General features: G+C 37.4%; 1 protein-coding gene across 1 annotated transcript; it reads right to left on the reverse strand.

Moving 5' to 3' along the window:
- Positions 1-6482: 6482 nt before the first annotated feature.
- On the reverse strand, positions 6483-19848 carry KLRB1 (killer cell lectin like receptor B1). The gene is made up of 6 exons (NM_002258.3): positions 19687-19848; positions 13433-13531; positions 11699-11773; positions 10431-10585; positions 9978-10093; positions 6483-7353 (listed from the first exon to the last, which is right to left on the reverse strand). Exons 1-6 carry the CDS (start codon positions 19769-19771, stop codon positions 7206-7208), a joined length of 678 nt encoding a protein of 225 aa, NP_002249.1. The 5' UTR covers positions 19772-19848; the 3' UTR covers positions 6483-7205.
- Positions 19849-23215: the final 3367 nt, after the last annotated feature.

The raw sequence follows: 23215 nt of genomic DNA on the forward strand, positions 1-23215 counted from the left end.
TTATGCTATAGCAAAATGGTTCTTTCTACACCTCATAAATACAGTCAAGTAAATAACCATGACTAAGCTAAAAGAAAAAGCCATCCAGCTCTTTGAAACAGACCCAGCAATACATTGGGATGTTTTAATGGTCTGGGTTTAGTTCTGGGTCCCTGGCTTTGTGGTCTATTCCAAGGACTAAAACAATTGTGCTGGTAGTTTGTCCGTGTTGCGGTTGGCTGTTTACATCCTATCCAAAATTTTAGTTGCTGTTTGCACAGCCATTGTCACATTACATGATTCAACAACTTATCTTGTAACAAAAGCAGCTGGAAGGATTAACTCTAGTCCAACTTCAAACAACATTTTCTGGAAAATCTCCTGATTCACAGAATTTCAAGCCATGTATTTTATTGATTGAAATTTCCCTCCTTCATCCTTTCTAGTTTTTGTGGGTGAAATCACAGAATTGTTGAATCCTAATGTTGGAAAATACCTTCAAGGCTATTTAGTACCAACACCCCAATTAATATCAGAAACTTCTCCACAGATACTTTGTGAAGTCTGGTATAAAAAGAAATAATTTTAAAGGTTATATGTCATTTGAGTTAAAAATTAGCATGAGTTCTGCTTCTCTACACCTCCCTTGCACCTACGCCCTGTGTAATGTGACTTCACACCTCCTCTCATCAGGATGAGAAGTCTATTTATCCCACCCCTTGAATCTGAGCTGGCCTTTTGACTTATTTGTCTAATAGGATGTGGGGGGTGATAGTGTTTAGTTGCAAGTGAAGGCCCCTCTACCTTTTGGAACTCTGCCCAGCCACCATGTGAACAGCCTGGGATAACCTGATGGAGAATTAGAAACACATGGATCTAGCAGCCAAGTGGACAGTGAACTAACTGTCCCAGATGTAACTGAGGTCATCGTAGACCAGCCAGCCCTCAGCTGGCCAGTCAGCTGCCCATAGACGCATGAGTAAGCCCAGAACAAATCAGATGAGCAAAGACCAGATCAATAGAAAGTTCCAGCTAACTTGTAATCTCCAGAGCAAAACTAAAGCCTTTTGTTTTAAGCCACTAAACTTTGGAGTAATTTGTAATGAAGAAAATCCTAACTGACATAGGCAGCAAACTACAATTATATGTATTTATTCTATTAGAACCCTATTTTAGCATTATATAATTCCATTAATTATATTTGAAGTGATTTCGAGTAATTCATTTGTTCTGATTTGATTGGTTAAAAGATTTTTTTTTTCTTAGAAAGTATTCCTTTGGGTTGTTTTTGTCCGTGTTTAGCTGATAACTGCAGTGAATCCTAATTTAGGAAAGAATATTGAGAAACCAGAAGCAGCTCAATTATGCGCTAAGCAAGTGCTAAGTAGTGTGAAAATTTTCAAATAAATGTAAAAAAAAACCAAAACGGCCCTAAAGACCTACATTTTTCTTAGCATAATAACAAAATTGAGACAGAAAATTGAAAATATGTGTAACACAGGCCAGGCTCGGTGGCTCACGCCTGTAATCCCAGCACTTTGGGAGGCCGAGGCAGGCGGATCACCTGAGGTCAGGAGTTGAGACCAGCCTGGCCAACATGGTGAAATCCCATCTCCACTAGAAACACAGAAAAGTTACCCAGGCATGGTGATGCACGCCTATAACCCCAGCTACTCGGGAGGCCGAGGCAGGAGAATTGCTTGAACCCAGGAGGCAGAGATTGCAGTGAGCCAAGATGGCGCCACTGTACTCCATCCTGGGTGACAGAGAGACTCCGTCTCAAAAAAGAAAAAAGAAAATATGTGTAATACAAAGTGTATGACATAGATTGAAATTGCAATAAGATTTCATAGAAAATAGTATTTACTGCAGTGCAACCTCATAGGAGACAAACATAATTTGAGTCTTAAAAATATTCATAGTTTTCAACAGGCAAAGTAGAAAATAAGGGTGTTTAATCTGAACAACGTGAACAAAGGCATTCTCACTCCTTATAATGTCTCCTGAAAAATGGTTCTATTAACTGGCTACAGTTTCCTAGAGAGTTTAAATTGTCTTGGAAAATTTATACTTTTTTTTACACCATCATTTATCCAATAGCCACTGAGTGCCTACCATGTGGTAGGCATTTCTCTATGTCCTTGGGATACAACAGTGAAGAATCAGGCAAAAATAATTGTTATTGAGGTGCTTGCATTCTGTACAGGAATCCAGTCCTCCATTGCCATTTAGGCAAAATCACTTAACCTATAAGTTAACCAACAATTTAAGTCATCCTGTACTCTTCATTTTAACACCAAAAAAAAAAAATTGAAATAAAGTAGTAATAATTGGACATTACTGTTTGTGTCTTGAGCCTAAAAATCACTACTGATGAATAAAAATATCTGAACATAAACCTGTGAGCAAAACAAACTATCTGGGGTTCAATTTCAGTCAAAATTGGAATTACGTTTAGTGATTATGCCTGTTCGACTATTTTTGCCTGGAAATGTTTACTTGTGTAGCAGTTACTTGCTTCCTAAAGTAGAATACTGAAAATTTTTCATGAAGTGCAAAGGACAAATCAAAAGTAAACTCTAGTTTTACAGTGTCCCCATGTTTATTTTGAAAGGGCCCTGGTAGATTGTGTTGAGATACAGAGTGCAGTTGGCTTCCCAGACCTGGGAAATCAGACTTGGGTTCCAGCCCTATTAGTGGGTTACCTTGTAAATGTTGAAAAATTATTCTGTGTGCTTGCTTTATTATTTGAAAAATAGTACTTTTGGAAAAACCACCTTCTGAGCCCAGGTATTACAGAAAATTGATTATATAATAATTTATTTGTTCATAAGAAATATTTTTGAGCATCTACTATGTAACAGAACCGTTTGTTGATTCACAATACTAAGAAGGTCCTTGCCCTCCTGGGCTCATATTCCCATGGAGAGGGCCTAATAATAGTAGTACTAGTAGCAACAATAACAAAATAAGAAAATAAATAAATACTTATTCAGTTTTATTTATTGTGTAAGAAGTAAGATGTTCTGAAGGGGAAAAGTTGATAAACTTGTTCTGATTGGTACAGAACTGTTTTTTATTTGTTCTGTTTTGCTCAGTTGGGAGGAAACAAGAGCACATCAAAGGCAAAAACAAAAACAAAACAAAATGAACCAATAAGCCTCTAAGGTAGCAGGTGAAGCTCATCACAAACAGTTGTAGAAGTAAACTTGAATTGCCGCCAAGGAGTAGATTAAAGTCTATCTCCACCAGACCAAGATAAGTTAGTTGCTTCATGACTATATAGGTGTTTAAAATCCAAAATTACTTTTAGAATTTTTTTAATTTTTGTTTTTTTGAATTTTCCCTTTTCCAAGCTGCTTGATATAGAAGGCAAAAGTTACTTTTTCTTATCCATTTCTGCATTATGAAGGGAAGAATTGATTGGTGGCTGCCTAAACATAAGTGGATTGGAAAGACTGGTTAAACAAACAAACAAAAAAAACTAGATGGATGCATTAAGAATATTTAAATTTTTAATTTTCCTACCAGAAATGTTTTTCTACTATGCCTACTTTTTAACCCATGCCATGTGTATTGAAGAAGTCTGTGGAATGGGTGGGGCAGGGAGGTAAAGCAGAGATAGACTTCAAATCCAAGCATGTAGCACAGAAAATACACAGAAGGAATCTCATTGGCCCTGCCTTGAGATCTTTCTACCATAATATAAACAGATTACTCTGCCAAGAGTAATTTCTAAGCCACTATATTAAAATGAAGTCAGAGATGATCTTTTTTTTCCCTTTAATTATTCTGTCTTGGTGATTGTCCAACTCCAGCCATGAGAAAAGTGGAACTAGCTTTATAAACATAAAAGCAACTAATTGTAACACAGCAAAGAATTCAATCAGATTTTGGAAAAGTGGGAAGAAATAGATGACAAATTATGAAGAGCAAAAAGATTTGGGGTAAATTTCATCAAAGGAATTAACGTTTAATTCGAGCCTTCGACAACTGCTAGGATTTTTCTAGGCAAAGAGCGAAGGACTTCAGTGTTGTTTGGACAATGGTCCGTGTGCCTGGAGCAAGGGCTTCACAGAGGCACGTAGTGGAAGGCAACGTCAGAAACATAGATGGCAGATCTTTTTTCTTTTTAACTTTAAAAGACTTAATTGACAAAAATTGTATATATTTAAGGTGTACAATGTGATGATTTAATGTACATATACATTATGTGATGATTAGCACTATCAACACATGCATCACCACCCATATCATTTGTGTGTGTATGTGTGTGTGAGTGTGAGGAGATATGTTCTTAAAATCTGCTCTTTTACCAAATTTCAAGTACACAGTACAGTATTATTAACTACACTCAACACATTGTACATTAGATCTCCAGAATTTATTCATCTTAGGACCGAAATTTCATACCTTTTGACTAACATGCCCCATTTCCCCAACCATCCAGCCCCTAGCAGCCCCTCTTCTACGCTCTGCTTCTATGAGTTGGACTTTTTTAGATTCCACATATAAGTGAAATCATATAGTATTTGTGCATCTGGCTCATTTCACTTAGCATAATGCCCTCTAAGTTATTCATGTTGCTGTAAGTGCCAGAATTTTCTTCTTTTTTTGTAGCTGCAAATTATTTCATTATGTTATATACATACACTGTATTTTTATATATATATATATAATGCGTACCACCTTTTCTTTGTTCATTCATCTACTGATGGACACCCAGAATGATACCATATCTTGGCTATTGTGAATAGTGCTGTAATAAACATGGGGTGCAGATATTTCTATGAGGTGTTGATTTAATTTCCCTTGGATATGTACCCAGAAGTGGCACTGCTGGATTGTATGATGTTCTATTTTTAGTTTTTGAGAAACCTTATTTTTTTCCATAATGGCCATACCAATTTTTGTCTCCACCAACAGCATATAAGATTTTTCTTTTCTCCACACCCTCACCAACACTTGCTATCTCTTCTCTTTTTGATAGTAGGTAGACAGTAGATCTTTAATGCCTTACTAAGGATCATATTTTCACCATGCCTTGGAGTTGCAGTTTATGTCATAAACATTGACTCAAATACTATAACCAAAAATTTCCCCGCAAACCTAATATTTTTTAACCTGCCTGAAATAACATGAACCTGCATGTTAGACATGCCTTCCTCATGGAAATGTGCCTTCATGGTTTGAGATTCAGGGATAACCTCAGAATTATAATATCCAATACATAGTAAATTTATTTAATTATCTGATTTTGCAATAGCACATTACGGTGACAGATAACCTAACTTCTCGGGGTTAAGTTTTCTGCAAAATTTTCTTTTGGATGTGTGCTTTAAGGCTGCTTGATTTCAGATCTAACAAGTACAGAAGGAGGAAAAGGTCAATGTTTGGAGTGAATTCTGGACTAACTGGGTGGATATAGCCTTATCCTGAATCACTTTAGAAGACTGCTATCGACATCATTCCAAAAAGGTGGGAATGTGCGTTTTCCATCATGGGACAATTTTCATCAGATTTCTACTCTACTGGTGTCATTACGTGTCCTTCCCCGAAAGTATCAAATACTTCCAAACCTCACTTTCGTTGTGTATTATTTTGTAATGACACATTTGCCTAAAATGTTTCCCTAAGTAATCTATTTTCTAAGTAATTGGCACAAAATGAATTTTGCTTTGATTTTTGATCTCTTCAAAAGTTATTGTTTTAACAAGTATTATAACTCCTCATGTATGGGATATAGGAATTGAGCCATTATTTTAGCCATGTCATATGCACTTGAATTTATATAATTCAATTTGGTGATGAATTATTAGGGTAAGCAGATGTCTATTTTTCAGAATTTTATTATGATAAGTCTTCTTATCAGGTACATTCACCATTTTCATTTATTTGATTTCCATGCATAATTTGGCATATTTTTAAGAAAGGTGGACATTCAAGAGATTTATGATAATAAATACTTCTGTTTTTTAACTTTAACTTCACAGTTAAAAGGTATAACTTATTTTCCATCAGAATAACTAAAGATTTAATTACATATTTTCTATAGCTTGTGTGTGTGAGCCGTGGGTAGAAGACAATATGGAAGAAAATGATGTAATATTAAAATTAAAATGGGAAGAATGATGGAATGGCAAGAAGAGTTAAGGTCCCTTCCCAAACTCCTTTAATTATGGGATTCTGGTGTCAGAGTTAAAAGAATGAACTTTAATCAATGTTCTGCCACAACTCAATTGTGTACTGGTTTAAAAAATGATAGACTATGATGGATGCACAGGGATTTAGCAATTATTTACTAAAATTTTCCTGGAGATGAGCCATTACATGGAAGGGATCAATGAAGTCCACACATACACGTCAGGATTAGAATCTAATTCTCTTCAGCAGGTCTGGGGTTCTTTCCATTGAAGGGGAGCCACAGATCACCTCCAAAGCCCCTTGTTAGCTCGTAGTGGGCTCTTCTATTGGATCTAGAAACTAAACTGGCACCGGGCAGATGAACAAAATAAAAGTATACACATTTTATTCGTTTTGCATGTACATGAGGAACTCGCAAGAGAGTGAAATCCATAGAAGTGGCCTAAGCAAGATGCTTTTATGCTTTTTAGACCAAGAATGATAAATTTGAAAAGAAATGACAGGATGAAGAAAAGCTGGCTAGGGGCAATAAATTTTCTAGAGGAGTCACTAGGAGATATATTGGTTGCGGGGGGCTGTAAAATAGGTGAAAGATAGGTGTTTATTAAGTATCTTTATTCAGGTTCATTGCAGCATCCAATTCCAGGTCTCTGGCGATAAGAGCTATTTTCTTGCCCTTGTATGACTCGGATAGCCCTCCCAGAGGAATCTTCACGGCTTGCCGCGTGCGGGAAGAGACAGGTCAGCTCTCCCTTTCTGAATCTACAATTTCTCCACTGTTTTAAACACAAAACAATCATATACCAATCTGGCATATTCGGGGACATCCTTCACTCCTTCACCATAGAATATCACTGTTTCTTTAAAACGATGCACGTTTTTCTCTATGTCTCTGTTTCCTCATTTAATAGAATGAATATGATAAACATGAACTTCTGTAAGATTCATAACAGTTGTCAATTCTCAGAATTGTTCACTTTGTGCCACTAAATGTGGCACTATTAGGTAGTACCAATAGTATGTGCAGCTACAAGTACAGAGATCAGTAATGGGAAGCAAATAAATTGAGATGGGATTCATAGTCAAGAGTCAGGATACACTTTATTTCTCACAGGTGTTAGTTCTTTTTGGCAGATCCATCTGATTTCTGTACTACAGTACTCAGAATACACAGATGTCTGTGAGATGGAAATACAGCTGTTTTCTTTAGCATCACCTCTAATTTCTAAGCTGTGGAGCAAAAGAAAAGTCTGTCTTAGCATTTATGATTTTCTCAGAGCTATTCTCACTTAGCCATTATTTCCTAGGACTCTCAGGAAGCAGTAGAATGATAAACTATTAAACAAAGAAGGCACACGGTCACAAATATAATGGTATGAACTTTTAAGATAGAGCTAATGTAAACCTCTGGAACTTCCAAGTTCATCTTCATTGGAAAAGAATCCCTCTAACAAGAAACTTCACAATTACATTAAAAAAAGAAAGAAACTTTGGAAACTGGGGATTCAGTCTTCTTATTGTTCTACTAACAGGTCACATTAAAAATGTTTCCTAACTTTACTGAGCCACAGTTTTATTAAATATTTAGGCTATAGCCACCTAATATTTAGGGGAGGCATGGAGATGAAATATGAAAATGTGGCAATACTTCAAAAATATGTGCTGAGTAAATATGATAAATATCTAGAGGCATGATGGATATTCAGGGTCTATAGAATTTGGAAGCAGTGAGAAAAAGTGGCTCAGTTCATGGTTATGTAGTCAGAGGTTCCTTTCATTCTCATTCCAAACAGAGGTGAACAGGTGTCTGCAGAAACATAATATTAGTTTCAAACAGACATGAGTCCTGTGGCTCACTGCAGGTAGGAGGTGATGATATAATTCAAACAAAGGGACAGGCTGTATTGGGGTTGAGTTGCAAGGACGGTGTGAGTTCAAGACTCTCCTATTTGTCTCAAACGGATGAGGTGGTGGCAGCATGCTGGGCTCCATCACAGCTTTTCTTTAGTCCTTTGTTCCATTTTCTCATGTAGCCTCTTGGGGCTGCTTGTCTGATTTCTTCCTACTGCCCAACCTTCTAGTCAAACCAAGAACTTCTTTCAACTGGGCTATTGCAAAAGTTCCCTATATTTTATCTCTTCCACCCTTTTAATTGTTTCTTCAATTATCAGGGTAATTTTTTTAAATGCCAATCTGGCCAAGTCAACAATTCCTTTTCCAAAAGGCCCTCAGTGGTTTTACAGGCCTTCCTTGATGAGACATCTGGCTAGCTCTTGAACATTGTCTCCTGTAGCCCCCAAAATAATCCTGTAAAAAAATTATGATTCTTCCCTTTCTTTCCTTGCCTTGCAAATAAAAGCAGAGTCTAACTGGTGCTTTTTCTACTATAACGTGATACCTTCCAGGTTTACCTGATCACTATTATCTTAAAGCATCATCTTTCTCCTCAGAATAAAATGAAAAGTTCAACTGAATTTCCTCCATCCACTTTACACATATTTATGTTCACATTTCAATGTTTTCAAATTTTATTTTTTACTGTGAACCACAATAAAATAAACATTTTGCATTATGACCCCATTAAGAAACACACACACAAACTATACTTAATAAATGCTAATTCACCAATACCATGTGTGGAAAGATAAAAATAAATTAATAGCAAACCTACTTTCATTTATTTGTAAATAAAATATTGAAAATAACCCCCAGAAAGCAATATAAAAATCAAGAGAGATGTTTTTAAACATAATGTGTATGTTTGGCTTTTCATAAATTTATTCTAGTCCAGAACACTTATTTTAAATCATCTTTATTTTAAAATCTTACACTTTATAAAATATTTTAGAATGTGGCTCATATAATGTCAAAACTTTGCTGATTGAGCCAACATTTCTTTCAGTGTTTAATACTTTCCATACTTAATAAATTATCTTAGGATAATGTAGACAAACTTAAAACATTCTCCTATGTTTTAGATTTTAACCTCTTGTTTTTTGAGTGACGGAAAATACATTTTAAATGTAAATTCTGCCAATTTGACTAAATCATTTACAGACTCATTAAATATAACTGTTTATATTATCTCTTTTGAAAAACTCATTAAAAGTTCTTTACAGAAATGTGGTTGAAGGCCTATACATTTTCGCTTGTGAGGGAAGAAAACACCCTGCCTTTTTCTGCAAAATTATCCATGAATTCTGCTAAAACATGAAATTTGCCTGTGTCGCAAATGCCTCATAGTACGTTGATGGTAATTTTGACCATCTTACACAAGACAAAAGCATGTCACACTGAAGAGAAAACAGCAAATAGCTCTTTTGTGGGTTAGACATGTTTTCATCACATCGTCTCAAGTACCTCTGTCTTTCACACCAGTGGTTCAAATATACTGCAATTTTTGTCACAACGTGGGTGTCTGGGTTCCACACTCTGATATTTACTATTTTTTCTTTTCTTTTAATGCCAGCTGTGACCCACTAAATTGGTCTCTTTACCTACTAATGTATATTTTCCCACAGTTTGAAAAATACAACGTAAGACATTCTGTGTGCCAGTGGTCTCCAGATAATCACTATTTTTAATTTAATGTGCCCGTTTCAAATAAGTTAGTCTATTTCCTGTCCCCTAAAACTCCATTGCAGATAAAAATATATTTTCTCATAAAGAGCTGATATCTTTTCATATATAGAACTTTCCAACCAACTTTGAAATCATCCATGTTCTTAGCCTATTCAGAACTTCTTGAGTTTTTAAACCAAATTAAAACTACAAAACTCAATCTTCAGTGTTACTACCTTGCAGTGTAAACCTGATATAAATTGAATATTAAAGTTAGCTCATCTAATACTCACTCATTAGAATTTAAAAAAGAGCCGTTTATCCACTTCCAGTTCTTTTCTGATAATGAAAAATTTAATCCAATCCAAAACAGAATTGCTTTGTCACGTATCAGGTTCTGTGTGTGTATCTATAAATGGAACAGAAAAATATTGAATCTGCTTATCTATTCCTGGTTTGATCCCCTAAAACCTAGTTCAAGCATCACCTCATCTCTGAAGTCTTTCCTAACTCGTCGTCAGCATTAATTATTCCTTCTTTGTGATATTTCTGTCTATGTTTTTATTTCTATTATTGTATTCATCACCTTATATTTAATTATTTGTTTACATATCCATGTAGTCATTCAAATTGTGAAGTCAAAGTCATCACTTCCATTGCATAAAACCCCTGGGCTAATGCACAGACATTAATATGGTTTAAAGAAAGTGTTAAGTTTTATTAAGGTATTTTATTTAATGATTTACCAATTCATCCTTATCTCGAATAAGCAGCAGGCTGGATTCTTTGGTGGAACAATCAGCTAGACTGTTATTCCAAGGGTTGACAGTGTGAGAAAATAACAAGCATTTCTCTCGGAGTTGCTGCCAATATATTGGGCAGTTTAAGAGACCCGGTCTCTCTAAAGTAAAAAACAGAAATAAGAAATAAATGTTATATTTCTAACCTATCCCTGACACACCACAACCAATCACACACACACAGGTCATTATAAATGCTCAAAGTTTTTGATTATCACTGTGAGAACAATGAATTTGTTATAAAGTTGAGATTTTTGAGACCTACTGTTCATTCTAGTACCAAGAATTGGGAATTAGTGACCAGTTATCTTGAGCATAAATGGAATCATAAAATATTAAAATAGGAAAACACCATCAGAATAATTTAAACTGCCACATCTTACATTTTAAGACAGTGAGAGACAGAATAACTTAAGTCCAGCCAGTCAGATGAAATATTTCCCACTACTTCTCAGTTTCCTTAAATTCATCACCAGTGCCTGTTTCACTGCACAGGCAACAATATAAAACTCATGTAAAAAGTACTGACTTTAAATGATGCACAAAATGCATAGCAAATAATTATTTTCACTAAATTAATAAGAAATACCATGGAGAAAAAATTATAAGAAAATTTCCAATTGCTAAACGATGTATTTACCTACTTAATGTGATCTATTGGATAGAATTTTCCAGAAGGACTTTCAGGTTTTCTTAAAACTTCCATTCTGTGAGAATGTGCACACAGATCATATTCCACTATAGTCACTCAACAGTAGTCACCTTTTTTTATTAACACACACTGGAACAAGACTAATGTGGCTGCATGGTGAGGAAATATAATAAATAGTAAAGAATTCATTCTATGTTTAAGTTCTATCAATTAACTTCAGACCAAACTTAACAGCTCACTAAAATAATCAGATATTTCACATATTTCCTATCAACAGTGGAGTATCCTAGCAGAGGCTCCTCATGAGGCAGCATGCCTTGCTGGTTAAAACCTTAGGCTCATAAGTCAGACCACTTACATATAATTCCCAGCCTCATCACTTGGTGCTTATGTGACCCTCAGCAAGTTGTTGAATCTTTTTATGTCTCAATTTTCTAATCCAGAAAAGCAGAATGATAAGAATATCTTAACATATGGATTGTTATGAATTGTGCCTAAGGTAACACATGAAATCTACCAAATATTAACAGTTATTCTTAGGAAATTGAAGCCACACAATTACCTGTTGTTTTATTCCTGCTCTGTTGAATGTCCACACTGCATTTTTCTATTGATGATTTCTGTATTAAGGATGTCACTAGTACATAAGGAAAAACAAGAGTATTAAATGCTGAAATGTGTGGTGGAGTGGATATATTATATTTGTTACTTTAGGAAACTAGATAATCTCAACACGCTTGAATATGGACAGAAAATAAAAGTATTAGCGAAGTGGTAAAAAAAAAAAAAAAAGATCTCACCTACAGGAAGCATACAGAAACAAATAAGAAAAAACAAAACAGGTGGACTCACACAGCCATTAGGTTGCCTGTATCTACTAGGTAAGTCAATCTAAGGGGATTACTTAAGCTCTTAAATTGCCTACAGTCTCACCTGAACTTTATCATCTTCAAAATGAGTCTAATTGTGCCTGTTCCAAGGGAGAGATTGTCTACTGCAATCTGGAATTTTAGTAAGTACATTATAAACCATAAATAACTGGAAATTTTTCTTTTCTTTGTTATCATCAATTGTGATTTTTTTCAAAAGTTCTTGGGCCACATATATAATACCCCGTGATGACTCTCAGGGCAGTTAGGAAGACAAATATGAAAGGCTGGTATCCAAAGTGGATATGGACTGACTGTTAGAAACATTGTTTCATGACTTTTTATTCATTGATTTTACACTAAGATTGGGGTAGCCAAATTATGTTGAGATTGTGGGGAAAAGCAAGAGAGATCAGATTGTTACTGTGTCTGTGTAGAAAGAAGTAGACATAGGAGACTCCTTTTTGTTATGTACTAAGAAAAATTCTTCTGCCTTGAGATTCTGTTAATCTATAACCTTACCCCCAACCCCTTGCTCTCTGAAACATGTGCTGTGTCAACTCAAGAGTTGAATGGATTAAGGGCGGTGCAAGATGTGCTTTGTTAAACAGATGCTTGAAGGCAGCATGCTCCTTAAGAGTCATCACCACTCCCTAATCTGAAGTACCCAGGGACACAAAAACTGCGGAAGGCCGCAGGGACCTCTGCCTAGGAAAGCCAGGTATTGTCCAAGGTTTCTCCCCATGTGATAGTCTGAAATATGGCCTCGTGGGAAGGGAAAGACCTGACCGTCCCCCAGCCCGACACCCGTAAAGGTTCTGTGCTGAGGAGGATTAGTAAAAGAGGAAGGAATGCCTCTTTCAGTTGAGACAAGAGGAAGGCATCTGTCTCCTGCCTGTCCCTGGGCAATGGAATGTCTCGGTATAAAACCCGATTGTATGCTCCATCTACTGAGATAGGGAAAAACTGCCTTAGGGCTGGAGGTAGGACCTGCGGGCAGCAATACTGCTTTGTAAAGCATTGAGATGTTTATGTGTATGCATATCTAAAAGCACAGCACTTAATCCTTTACATTGTCTATGATGCAAAGACCTTTGTTCACGTGTTTGTCTGCTGACCCTCTCCCCACAATTGTCTTGTGACCCTGACACATCCCCCTCTCGAGAAACACCCACAAATGATCAATAAATACTAAGGGAACTCAGAGGCTGGCGGGATCCTCCATATGCTGAACGCTGGTTCCCCGGGTCCCCTTATTTCTTTCTCTATACTTTGTCTCTGTGTCTTTTTCTTTTCCAAATCTCTCGTCCCACCTTACGAGAAACACCCACAGGTGTGTAGGGGCAACCCACCCCTACAGAGATGCTCTAAGATACGTAATGGAAGTAGAGTAAGTATTATGAAACAGATGATGGTGCCCCACTTACCTGAAACACTCAACCCAGTAACAACCAAGACAAGGAGAATAATCCCAGCACAGCTAAGTTTCAGGGCAAATTGATGCCAAGGTGAACCCTGACAGACATCTGAAAAGTTAAAAAGAAAAACACAAAAACAAACAAACAAACGAAACAAAAAACCTTGGTTAACTCAGTGGAGTACATCTGGCACAAAAATGTACTTGGGATAACATAGGGACAATTAGATTCAGCTTGGGGGATGGGGGCAGGGAACAACCTCTATCCATCATTCTAAAAGTAGAGTCCTGCAAGATGGGTTCTCAGATCCAACAGAGTTTGCTCATTGATAAAATATGAACGCTTATGCATGTGTGTATACAAAGGATTGGTGTAAGAACCAAATGAGATAGATAGAAAGATGTTTTGAAAATTGCCAAGTGCTATACAAAAATTAAGTGCATGTCTTAATGTATGAAGTAAGTCAAAGCATTTTGTCCAAGAAGGAAGACCTTCATTTAGTCAAGATATTTTTTGAGGCTCTCTCTATTTTGTGCCAAGTACCATGTTAGGTGCTGGTGGTATACAGAAATTCTATTCTTGGACATGGAATCCTCTGCTTTGCTGTTGTCTAGAACAATCATCTCCAAGTTGGGTCTAAGCCAACTTGGGATCCCAAGCCATCAAGGGATAAGGTTTTGTGACTGCATACCTTTTTCAATATTATCACTAGTATAACATAACATGCGCTTATGTCTACAACATCGCATAGTCTAAACCAAGTGTCAGATATCTCTGCTTTTCTCTGTAATCACATCAATTACTATATAATGAATCTCCCATGTTCTTCAAAAGTTATGATTATATTGATGAAATGTTATAAATTAATCGCAACTTTATCAATGTATTTTGCTCTGTATCTTTGAAAACATGAATTAATAGAAAAAAAATAAAGAGAGATTTATAAAAATATTTTGGAGAAACACTGGGATATAGCTTCCAAAATTAAATCAACTCTGATAAGGAATTATTCTGGTAGTATATTGCTCAGTTACACTGCTAGAAGTTGTGCCTAAATAGCTCCCCTATCTCTGATTTAATTGTAAGTCTCCCTCTGCTCTCATTTGGTTTTTAACATATTAGATATATTATAATTATAAATTACTTTATAAATTCTATTATTAGAGCTAGGAGCTTTTATGAATAAAGGCTTTCTAATTTATCTGAAGCTATTGATTTATTTGTATTGTCTATTCCTTTTTATTTTTTCTAATATTATTCCATGTAAGTGATTACTTGCTATGAGTTACATGTTAAAAAATTTAGCATCAGATATACTATAATATTATCCTTTAGTCTCTTTATATGTTTCAGAACGGCCATGAAGCCATTTCTACTTTTAATGGTACAGTATCCTTGAGGATTAAGTTGTGCAGTCCAGTTTGCAGACCTGATAATCTCTCACATTAGGATGCTCACACTGATATAAGTGAATCAGCTCTCTCTAAAACGGCCCTGAGGAGATAGAATTTAGTAGCGTTAGATGTGATCAAAGATTATGGGAGGAACCATAATACACTGGGGTCAGGGTTGTAACATATGGATTATCGTCTGGTACTATTTAGGACATGCTGTATCAGTGGAGGGGGGCAGGGAGGAGTAGATACCTAGAGGAGACTCCAAGGCCCCAGGGATATATCTGAATGTGAGGAAACCAAGCTTGGTAATATTGGCCTAGAACTTCTAATGAGAGCTGGTGTGATACAAGAATGTCTACATGCAGTCAATAAGCCCAAGACAGCACTGGCATGGCTTTCCTTCCAGTTTTATATATGTACGTTATTTCACCTTTCTGTCTCTTCTCTTCCCCACCGTTTTCTTCCTTGAAACTCTAAGTTTGTTTGTCTAGTGGAGAAAGCTCTGTATAGTCACTATTTTAAGTGTTAACTTAATTCTATTTATTTATTTATTTATTTTTGAGACGGAGTTTCACTCTTGTTGCCCAGGCTCATGGTGCAATCTCAGCTCACCGCAACCTCCGCCTCCCAGGTTCAAGCAATTCTCTTGCCTCAACCTCCCGAGTAGCTGGGATTACAGGCATGCGCCACCATGCCCGGCTAATTTTGTATTTTTTTTTTTTTTTTTTAGTAGAGACGGGTTTCTCCATGTTGGTCAGGCTGGTCTCGAACTCCCAACCTCAGGTGATCCACCCGCCTCAGCCTCCCAAAGTGCTGGGATTACATACGTGAGCCACCGCACCCAGCCTAATTCTATTACTAACATGAATTTAGTAATTTTCATTACTAAAGGCTAACATTGATTAAGAACAGTCTTTCCGATCTAGCAAATCTGAATGTGAACATGTTATTTTGGAAAATACGTTCAACCTTCATAACCCACAGATTTCCTCATCTGTGAAATGTGGAATATTATCTATGTCATAATATTTTGGAGAGGATTATATGAAACAATTCTTCTAAATGCTGGGCACAGTGTCTGGCACATGGTAACTGTTCAATGAACAGCAGTTCTTTTTTTCTAAAAGTTGTTTTTTTTTTTTAACTATAGGTAAAAGGCAACTTGGTGACTTTTAAAAATCGTTATTCATTCATGCTAAAATGTAAGGAGTTGAGTGGAGTGTACTGTGTCTGGGAGGAATGTACTCCTGTACTGTGTTTCTGTGGCACCACGTGACATTAGAATTAATGAAGTTACAATGAATCACTACAGGGGTCCGGCGGACGTTAGCTATCTGGAAATACCTACCTATGGCTGTTCTCCATTTGAGTTTAAAAAGTATGTGAAATCATCTCATTTCATTATTCTAAACCTTCCAATGGCTTTTCATCAGGCAAATCTGAGTCTGTAGAATGGCTCATATGTCCCTATTTAAGCTGGCGCCCACTTCTGTTGGATGTTATCACTCACATCTCTCTGGTTTTGTTGACTGCCTTAGACACAATCACCATGCTACAGAGTGACCATAGCCTCAACAGTTTAGCCAGAGTCCAATAGTGGTTTCACATTTTGCCCTCACCCCATCTGGCCTCCATACGCTCACTCTCCACGCAGATGCCTCCTACAATACCACAGGCGTGTTTTCATTTCGATGTGTTTGCACTTGTTGGTCACCTTCCTAGAAGGCTTCTCTCTCAGGGGCTTATGTCTTTGTCCCTCACTTCTGTCAGGTTTTGACTCAATGTCATCTTCTCAGGGAGGCCTTCCTTGATTATTCTGTTTGATATGCTACCCTCCCCGAAAGTTAAATCCTATATTCAAATCTTTCTCAATAACATTAACACCGTCTCATCTTTTATACTGACTTAGTTATTTGTTTATTTTATTGATGGTGTGCCTCCATTTTTTTAATTTTTATTTTTTATTATACTTTAAGTTCTAGGGTACATGGGCACAATGTGCAGGTTTGTTACATATGTATACATGTGCCATGTTGGTTTGTTGCACCCGTTAACTCGTCATTTACATTAGGTATTTCTCCTAGTGCTATCCCTTCTCCCTACCCCCACCCCACAACAGGCCCTGGTGTGTGATGTTCCCTGCCCTGTGTCCATGTGTTCTCATTGTTCAATTCCCACTATGAGTGAGAATATGCGGTGTTTGGCTTTCTGTCCTTGTGATAGTTTGCTCAGAATGATGGTTTCCAGCCTCATCCATGTCCCTACAAAGGACATGAAATCATCCTTTTTTATGGCTGCACAGTATTCCATGGTGTATATGTGCCACATTTTCTCAATCCAGTCTATCAATGATGGACATTTGGGTTGGTTCCAAGTCTTTGCTATTGTGAATGCTGCCGCAATAAACATACGTGTGCATGTGTCTTTATAGCAGCATGATTTATTATCCTTTGAGTATATACCCAGTAGTGGGATCACTGGGTCAAATGGTATTTCTAGCTCTAGATCCTTAAGGAATCGCCATACTGTCTTCCACAAGTGTGCCTCTATTTTACTATAAACTCTATGAAGGAAAATAATTTTCTCTATTTTGTTCACTGCTGTATTCACAGCATGCCTGGTGCAGAGTAGGAGCTTATTTTTTAATGAATGAATAAACTCTAGGGGCATTTTTGCAAACACCTTATCCACTTTTCTAACAGACCAAACCCTTGGCCATTTGGCCATAAGCAAGATCGGTTATCACTCACATCTCTCCTTCTGGTTTTGTTGACTGCCTTAGACACAATCACCGTGCTTGCTACAGAGTGACCACAGCCTCAGCAGTTTAGCCAGAGACCAATAGTGGTTTTACTGTCATTCAATATCAGACCAGTGTTCTATAGTCACATATTTTGCTCTGGCTTTATTCTACTCTTATTTTTTCTTCAGGTTTACTCTCAGAATGACATTTTATAGGATAATTATTACAATCCAAGTAGAAAAAATTTCTGCATCCATTGGTTTGGGATCATAGCAACATTTGGGAAGAGTCTCACTACCTCTATATTCATTTTCTGACAAAAGCCCACTTTCCACCTTTTGCTAGATATGAATAGAGGAAAAGAAAGACTTACTCTTTTCTTTAAAAAAAAATGTTACTCAACCAAATCCTCCCTATAGTTATTAGAACCCTCTGATTTCCTCTACTCTTATGTGAAAATTATACTGAAACTTAATTGACGGCTCTAAGACTTTCTTCTTGACTTAAAACTTTGAGAATTCAATAGTTTAAAACTTAAACAGTCTTAAAACAGCACAAGTCAAATGCTTGGCATGACATGGAATGAATATCAGATTGGTAAACAATTGTAATATTATCAATGATAGTAAATTCAGTTAGATATCAGAAAATAATAATGTGTCATAATAATTTCATGCTGATTTTCTGCCTCAGTTTCTAGTTTCTTCCCATCCATCCACAGGCCATGCTATCCATCATGTGTTACCTCACATTGGTGTTCCCCGCTTCTTTCACTCAGAATGCTAACTCTTCAGAGACACAGGAAAGTGCCAGTTTCAACAAATGGTAAGTAGGTTCGTTACTGATATGCTCGAGTATTTTTGTGGCTTGTCTCTTTCTAAGCTGTGATACTTTTCAAACTAGAAACTATCAGGTAGTAATGATATTCAAATCTTTGATCTTGAATATGATTTTTTTTCCAGAAAGTGTTCCCCTCTCTTGAGAGAGTGAAGTATGTTACTCATTAAGCCTACACTTTATATATATATATATAAAATATATAAAATATATGTATAAAAAGTATATATATATATATAAAATATATAAAATATATGTATAAAAAGTATATATATATATATATATATATATATTTTTTTTTTTTTTTTGAGATAGTCTTGCTGTGTCACCCAGGCTGGAGTACAGTGGCACAATTACAGCTCACTGCAGCCTTGATCTCTTGGGCTCAAGCAATCCTCTCACCTCAGCCTCCCGAGTAGCTAGGACCACAGGCACGTGCCCCACACTTGGCTATTTTTTTGTATTGTTTGTAGAGATGAGGTTTTGCCACATTGCCCAGGCTGGCCTTAAACTCCTGGACTCAAGCAAATCACCTTAGCCTACCAAAGTGTTGGGATTACAGGCATGAGCCACTGCAACTGGCCTACACGTTGTATTCTGAAAGGAATATTATGGATGAAAATGCACTGGGACTTAATCATAGTATTGATATTTTGTAGAGGAATTTGGAATAACGTAGGTTGTTATTACAGCAAGTTTGCAATGTGTCTTAAATATTCCTTAGTTCATACATGTAAAATATTTTTCCTTCCTTCCTTCCATCCTTCCTTCCTTCCTCCTTCTCTTTTTCTTTCTTTCCTTTCCTTTCTCTCTCTTTCTTTTTCTTTCTCTCCTTTCTTTCTTTCTTCTTTTCTTTCTCTTTCTTTCCTTTCTTTCTTTCTTTCTTCCTTTCTTTCTTTCTTTCTTTCTTTCTTTCTTTCTTTCTTTCTTTCTTTCTTTTCTTTCTTTCTTTCTTTCTTCCTTCTTTCCATCCCTGTAGAGCAGGGGTAACCAATAGGCAGTGTGCCCAGGGTAGCCTAAAGTGTTCAGAGTCTTTTAACCAAGGCTCAGTAAGACAAGTGATGTTTGCTTTTCATGCTAACTTGATTGAAAAAAATAAATGTATGAGGTTTAAATTTTTTTTCCCAAAGTTGTGATTATCTACAGGCAAGCCATGCAACACCCGTTAAACATTAATATAAAACTACTGCTCATCTTTAAAGCAATGATTTAAAGCCATAAATGTAACAGGAAGATCTAATTCTGGAAGACATACAAATGCCGAAAGGAAAATTAAAGCCACTTACCCCGAGGAAGAGATGAAGGTGAAGAACTTTCTGGGCCTGAGTCTGTGGGTAAGTTTAACTCAGCATATATTGCTTGTTGGTCCATGGCAGACAGAGGAAGGTGGCATTAAACTTGTGTGTAAGAACAAACTCTCAATTCTGTGAGGCAAAATCAGCAAAAGGAAGCTTTCTGCCTGCAGTACTTTGTTGTCTCTCTTTTGTCCCCACCCACATACACTTTTTGTTGGTGGTTATCTCCATAAATTACTGAGACAATCCACTGACTGCATGTTCATTATACCTAGCTATGTAATATCTACTTTCCTTAATTAACTGGCCTGTTGTTTGAGAAAATTCTGGGAGGCTCATTTGTTCTTGTTTTTCTAACCATCCCTTTTGTGTTCCTCTCTCAGGGCCAGGACCAGAGTGAAGCAAATGAGGCATAGCCTGGGGTTCCAATTTAAGGGGCCCCCAACAAAACTCACTAATTAACAGAAATAATATTTAGCACAATTTTGTAAAAGTAAAAATTAATGCAAAAAAGTCCATAATGCTATTCAAAGGCTCTAAAATCTTCCTGAAATATCTGTGCTCCAAAGAAAGTTGTGAAATGTGAAAAATGGAAACATAAATGTGAGAAAGCCCCCTGAATAACACAACAGAAAAAGCAATGTGCTAAAGATCAGTAGCCTACTGTTAGCTTAGCTCTAAAGGCACTCTTGGATATGATAGCATTTTCACATAAGTAAAAGTATTTGGAAACTGCCAGAATTGTAGGAAGTGGAGTATATGGAATTTTTTATCTCTTTGAAAGACTTTCTTTTTTTTTCAAGGTGATTATAGTATGTGTCTACTTTTTTTTTTTTACCTTTTTTTATTATTATTATACTTTAAGTTCACAATGTACAGGTTTGTTACATATGTATACATGTGCCATGTTGGTGTGCTGCACCCGTTAACTTGTCATTTACATTAGGTATATCTCCTAATGCTATCCCTCCCCCCTCCCCCCACCCCACGACAGGCCCCGGTGTGTGGTGTTCCCCTCCCTGTGTCCAAATATTCTCATTGTTCAATTCCAACCTATGAGTGAGAACATGCGGTGTTTGGTTTTCTGTCCTTGCAATAGTTTGCTCAGAATGATGGTTTCCAGCTTCATCCATGTCCCTACAAAGGACATGAACTCATCCTTTTTTATGGCTGCATACTATTCCATGGTGCATATGTGCCATATATTCTTAATCCAGTCTATCATTGATAGACATTTGGGATGGTTCACGAGTCTTTGCTATTGTGAATAGTGCCACAATAAACATATGTGTGCATGTGTCTTTATAGCAGCGTGATTTATAATCCTTTGGGTATATACCCAGTAATGAGATGGCTGGGTCAAATTCTAGTTCTAGTCCCTCGAGGAATCGCCACACTGTCTTCCACAATGGTTGAACTAGTTTAGAGTCCCACCAACAGTGTAAAAGTGTTCCTATTTCTCCACATCCTCTCCAGCACCTGTTTTTTCCTGACTTTTTAATGACTGTCATTCTAACTGGTGTGAGATGGTATCTCATTGTGGTTTAGATTTGCATTTCTCTGATGGCCAGTGATGATGAGCATTTTTTCATGTGTCTGTTGCCTGCATAAATGTTTTCTTTTGAGAAGTGTCTGTTCATATCCTTTGCCCATTTTTTGATGGGGTTGGTTGATTTTTTCTTGTAAATTTATGTAAGTTCTTTGTAGATTCTGGATATTAGCCGTTTGTCAGATGGGTAGATTGTAAAAATTTTCTCCCATTCTGTAGGTTGTCTGTTCACTCTGATGGTAGTTTCTTTTGCTGTGCAGAAGCTCTTTAATTTAGTTAGATCCCATTGGTCAATTTTGGCTTTTGTTGCCATTGTTATTGGTGTTTTAGTCATGAAGTCCTTCCCATGCCTGTTGCCTGAATGGTATTGCCTAGGTTTTCTTCTAGGGTTTTTATGGTTTTAGATCTAACATTTAAGTTTTTAATCCATCTTGAATTAATTTTTTATAAGGTGTAAGGAAGGGATCCAGTTTCAGCTTTCTATATATGGCTAGCCAGTTTTCCCAGCACCATTTATTAAATAGGGAATCCTTTCCCCATTTCTCGTTTTTGTCAGATTTGTCAAAGATCAGATGGTTGTAGATATGTGGTATTATTTCCGGGGGCTCTGTTCTGTTCCATTGGTCTATATCTCTGTTTTGGTACCAGTACCATGTTGTTTTGGTTGCTGTTGCCTTGGAGTATAGTTTGAAGTCAGGTAGCGTGATGCCTCCAGCTTTGTTCTTTTGACTTAGGTTTGTCTTGGCAATGTGGGACCTTTTTTGGTTCCATATGAACTTTAAAGTAGTTTTTTCCAATTCTGTGAAGAAAGTCATTGGTAGCTTGATGGGGATGGCATTGAATCTATAAATTACCTTGGGCAGTATGGCCATATTCACAATACTGATTCTTCCTATCCGTAAGCATAGAATGATCTTCCATTTATTTGTGTCCTCTTTTATTTCATTGAGCAGTGGTTTGTATTTCTCCTTGAAGAGGTCCTTCACCTCTTTCAAAGATTTTCAGGCATAGAACCTTAGAGCAAGACCTTAGGTGGATTGGGTTCCAAGATGGCCAAATAGGAACAGCTCCAGTCTATAGCTCCCAGCGTGAGCGACACAGAAGATTGGTGATTTCTGCATTTCCAACTGAGGTACTGGGTTCATCTCACTGGGGCTTGGCAGACAGTGGGGACAGCCCATGGTGCAGGGTGGGGCATTGCCTCACCAAGGAAGCGCAAGGGATTGGGGAATTCCCTTTCCTAGCCAAGGGAAGCTATGACAGACGGTACCTGGAAAATCAGGACACTCCCACCCTAATACTGCACTTTTCCAATGGTCTTAGCAAATGGCACACCAGGAGATTATATCCCATGCCTGGCTCGGAGGGTCCCATGCCCACAGAGCCTTGCTCACTGCTAGCACATCAGTCTGAGATCAAACTGCAAGGTGGCAGCGAGGCTACGGGAGGGGCATCCACCATTGCTGAGGCTTGAGCAGGTAAACAAAGCTGCCAGGAAGCTCAAACTGGGTGGAGCCCACTGCAGCTCAAGGAGGCCTGCCTGCCTCTGTCGACTCCACCTCTGAGGGCAGGGCATAGCTGAACAAAATGCAGAAGAAACTTCTGCAGACTTAAACATCCCTGTCTGACAGCGTGGGAGAGAGTAGTGGTTCTCTGAGCATGGAGTTTGAGATCTGAGAACAGACAGACTGCCTCCTCTAGTGGGTCCCTGAGCCCGAGTAGCCTAACTGGGAGACACCTCCCAGTAGGAGCTGACTGACACCTCATACAGCCAGGTGTCCCTCTGAGATGAAGCTTCCAGAGGAAGGATCAGGCAGCAACATTTGCCGTACTGCAATATTTGCTGTTCTGCAGTCTCCACTGGTGATACCCAGGCAAACAGGGACTGGAGTGCACCTCCAGCAGCCTCCAGCAGACCTGCAGCTGAGGGTCCTGACTGTAAGAAGGAAAACGAACAAACAGAAAGGACAT

The sequence above is a fragment of the Homo sapiens genome, chromosome 12, assembly GCF_000001405.40.
Source record: "Homo sapiens chromosome 12, GRCh38.p14 Primary Assembly".
Taxonomy (NCBI): domain Eukaryota; kingdom Metazoa; phylum Chordata; class Mammalia; order Primates; family Hominidae; genus Homo; species Homo sapiens.

Coding starts and splice junctions, on each gene's coding strand:
- KLRB1 (NM_002258.3), bottom strand. CDS start 19,771: ATGGACCAACAAGCAATATATGCTGAGTTAAACTTACCCACAGACTCA. Junction 11,774..13,432: donor TACTGGGTTGAGTGTTTCAG/GTAAGTGGGGCA, acceptor CTTATGTACTAG/TGACATCCTTAATACAGAAA. Junction 10,094..10,430: donor TTCGAGATAAGGATGAATTG/GTAAATCATTAA, acceptor TTCCATTTATAG/ATACACACACAGAACCTGAT.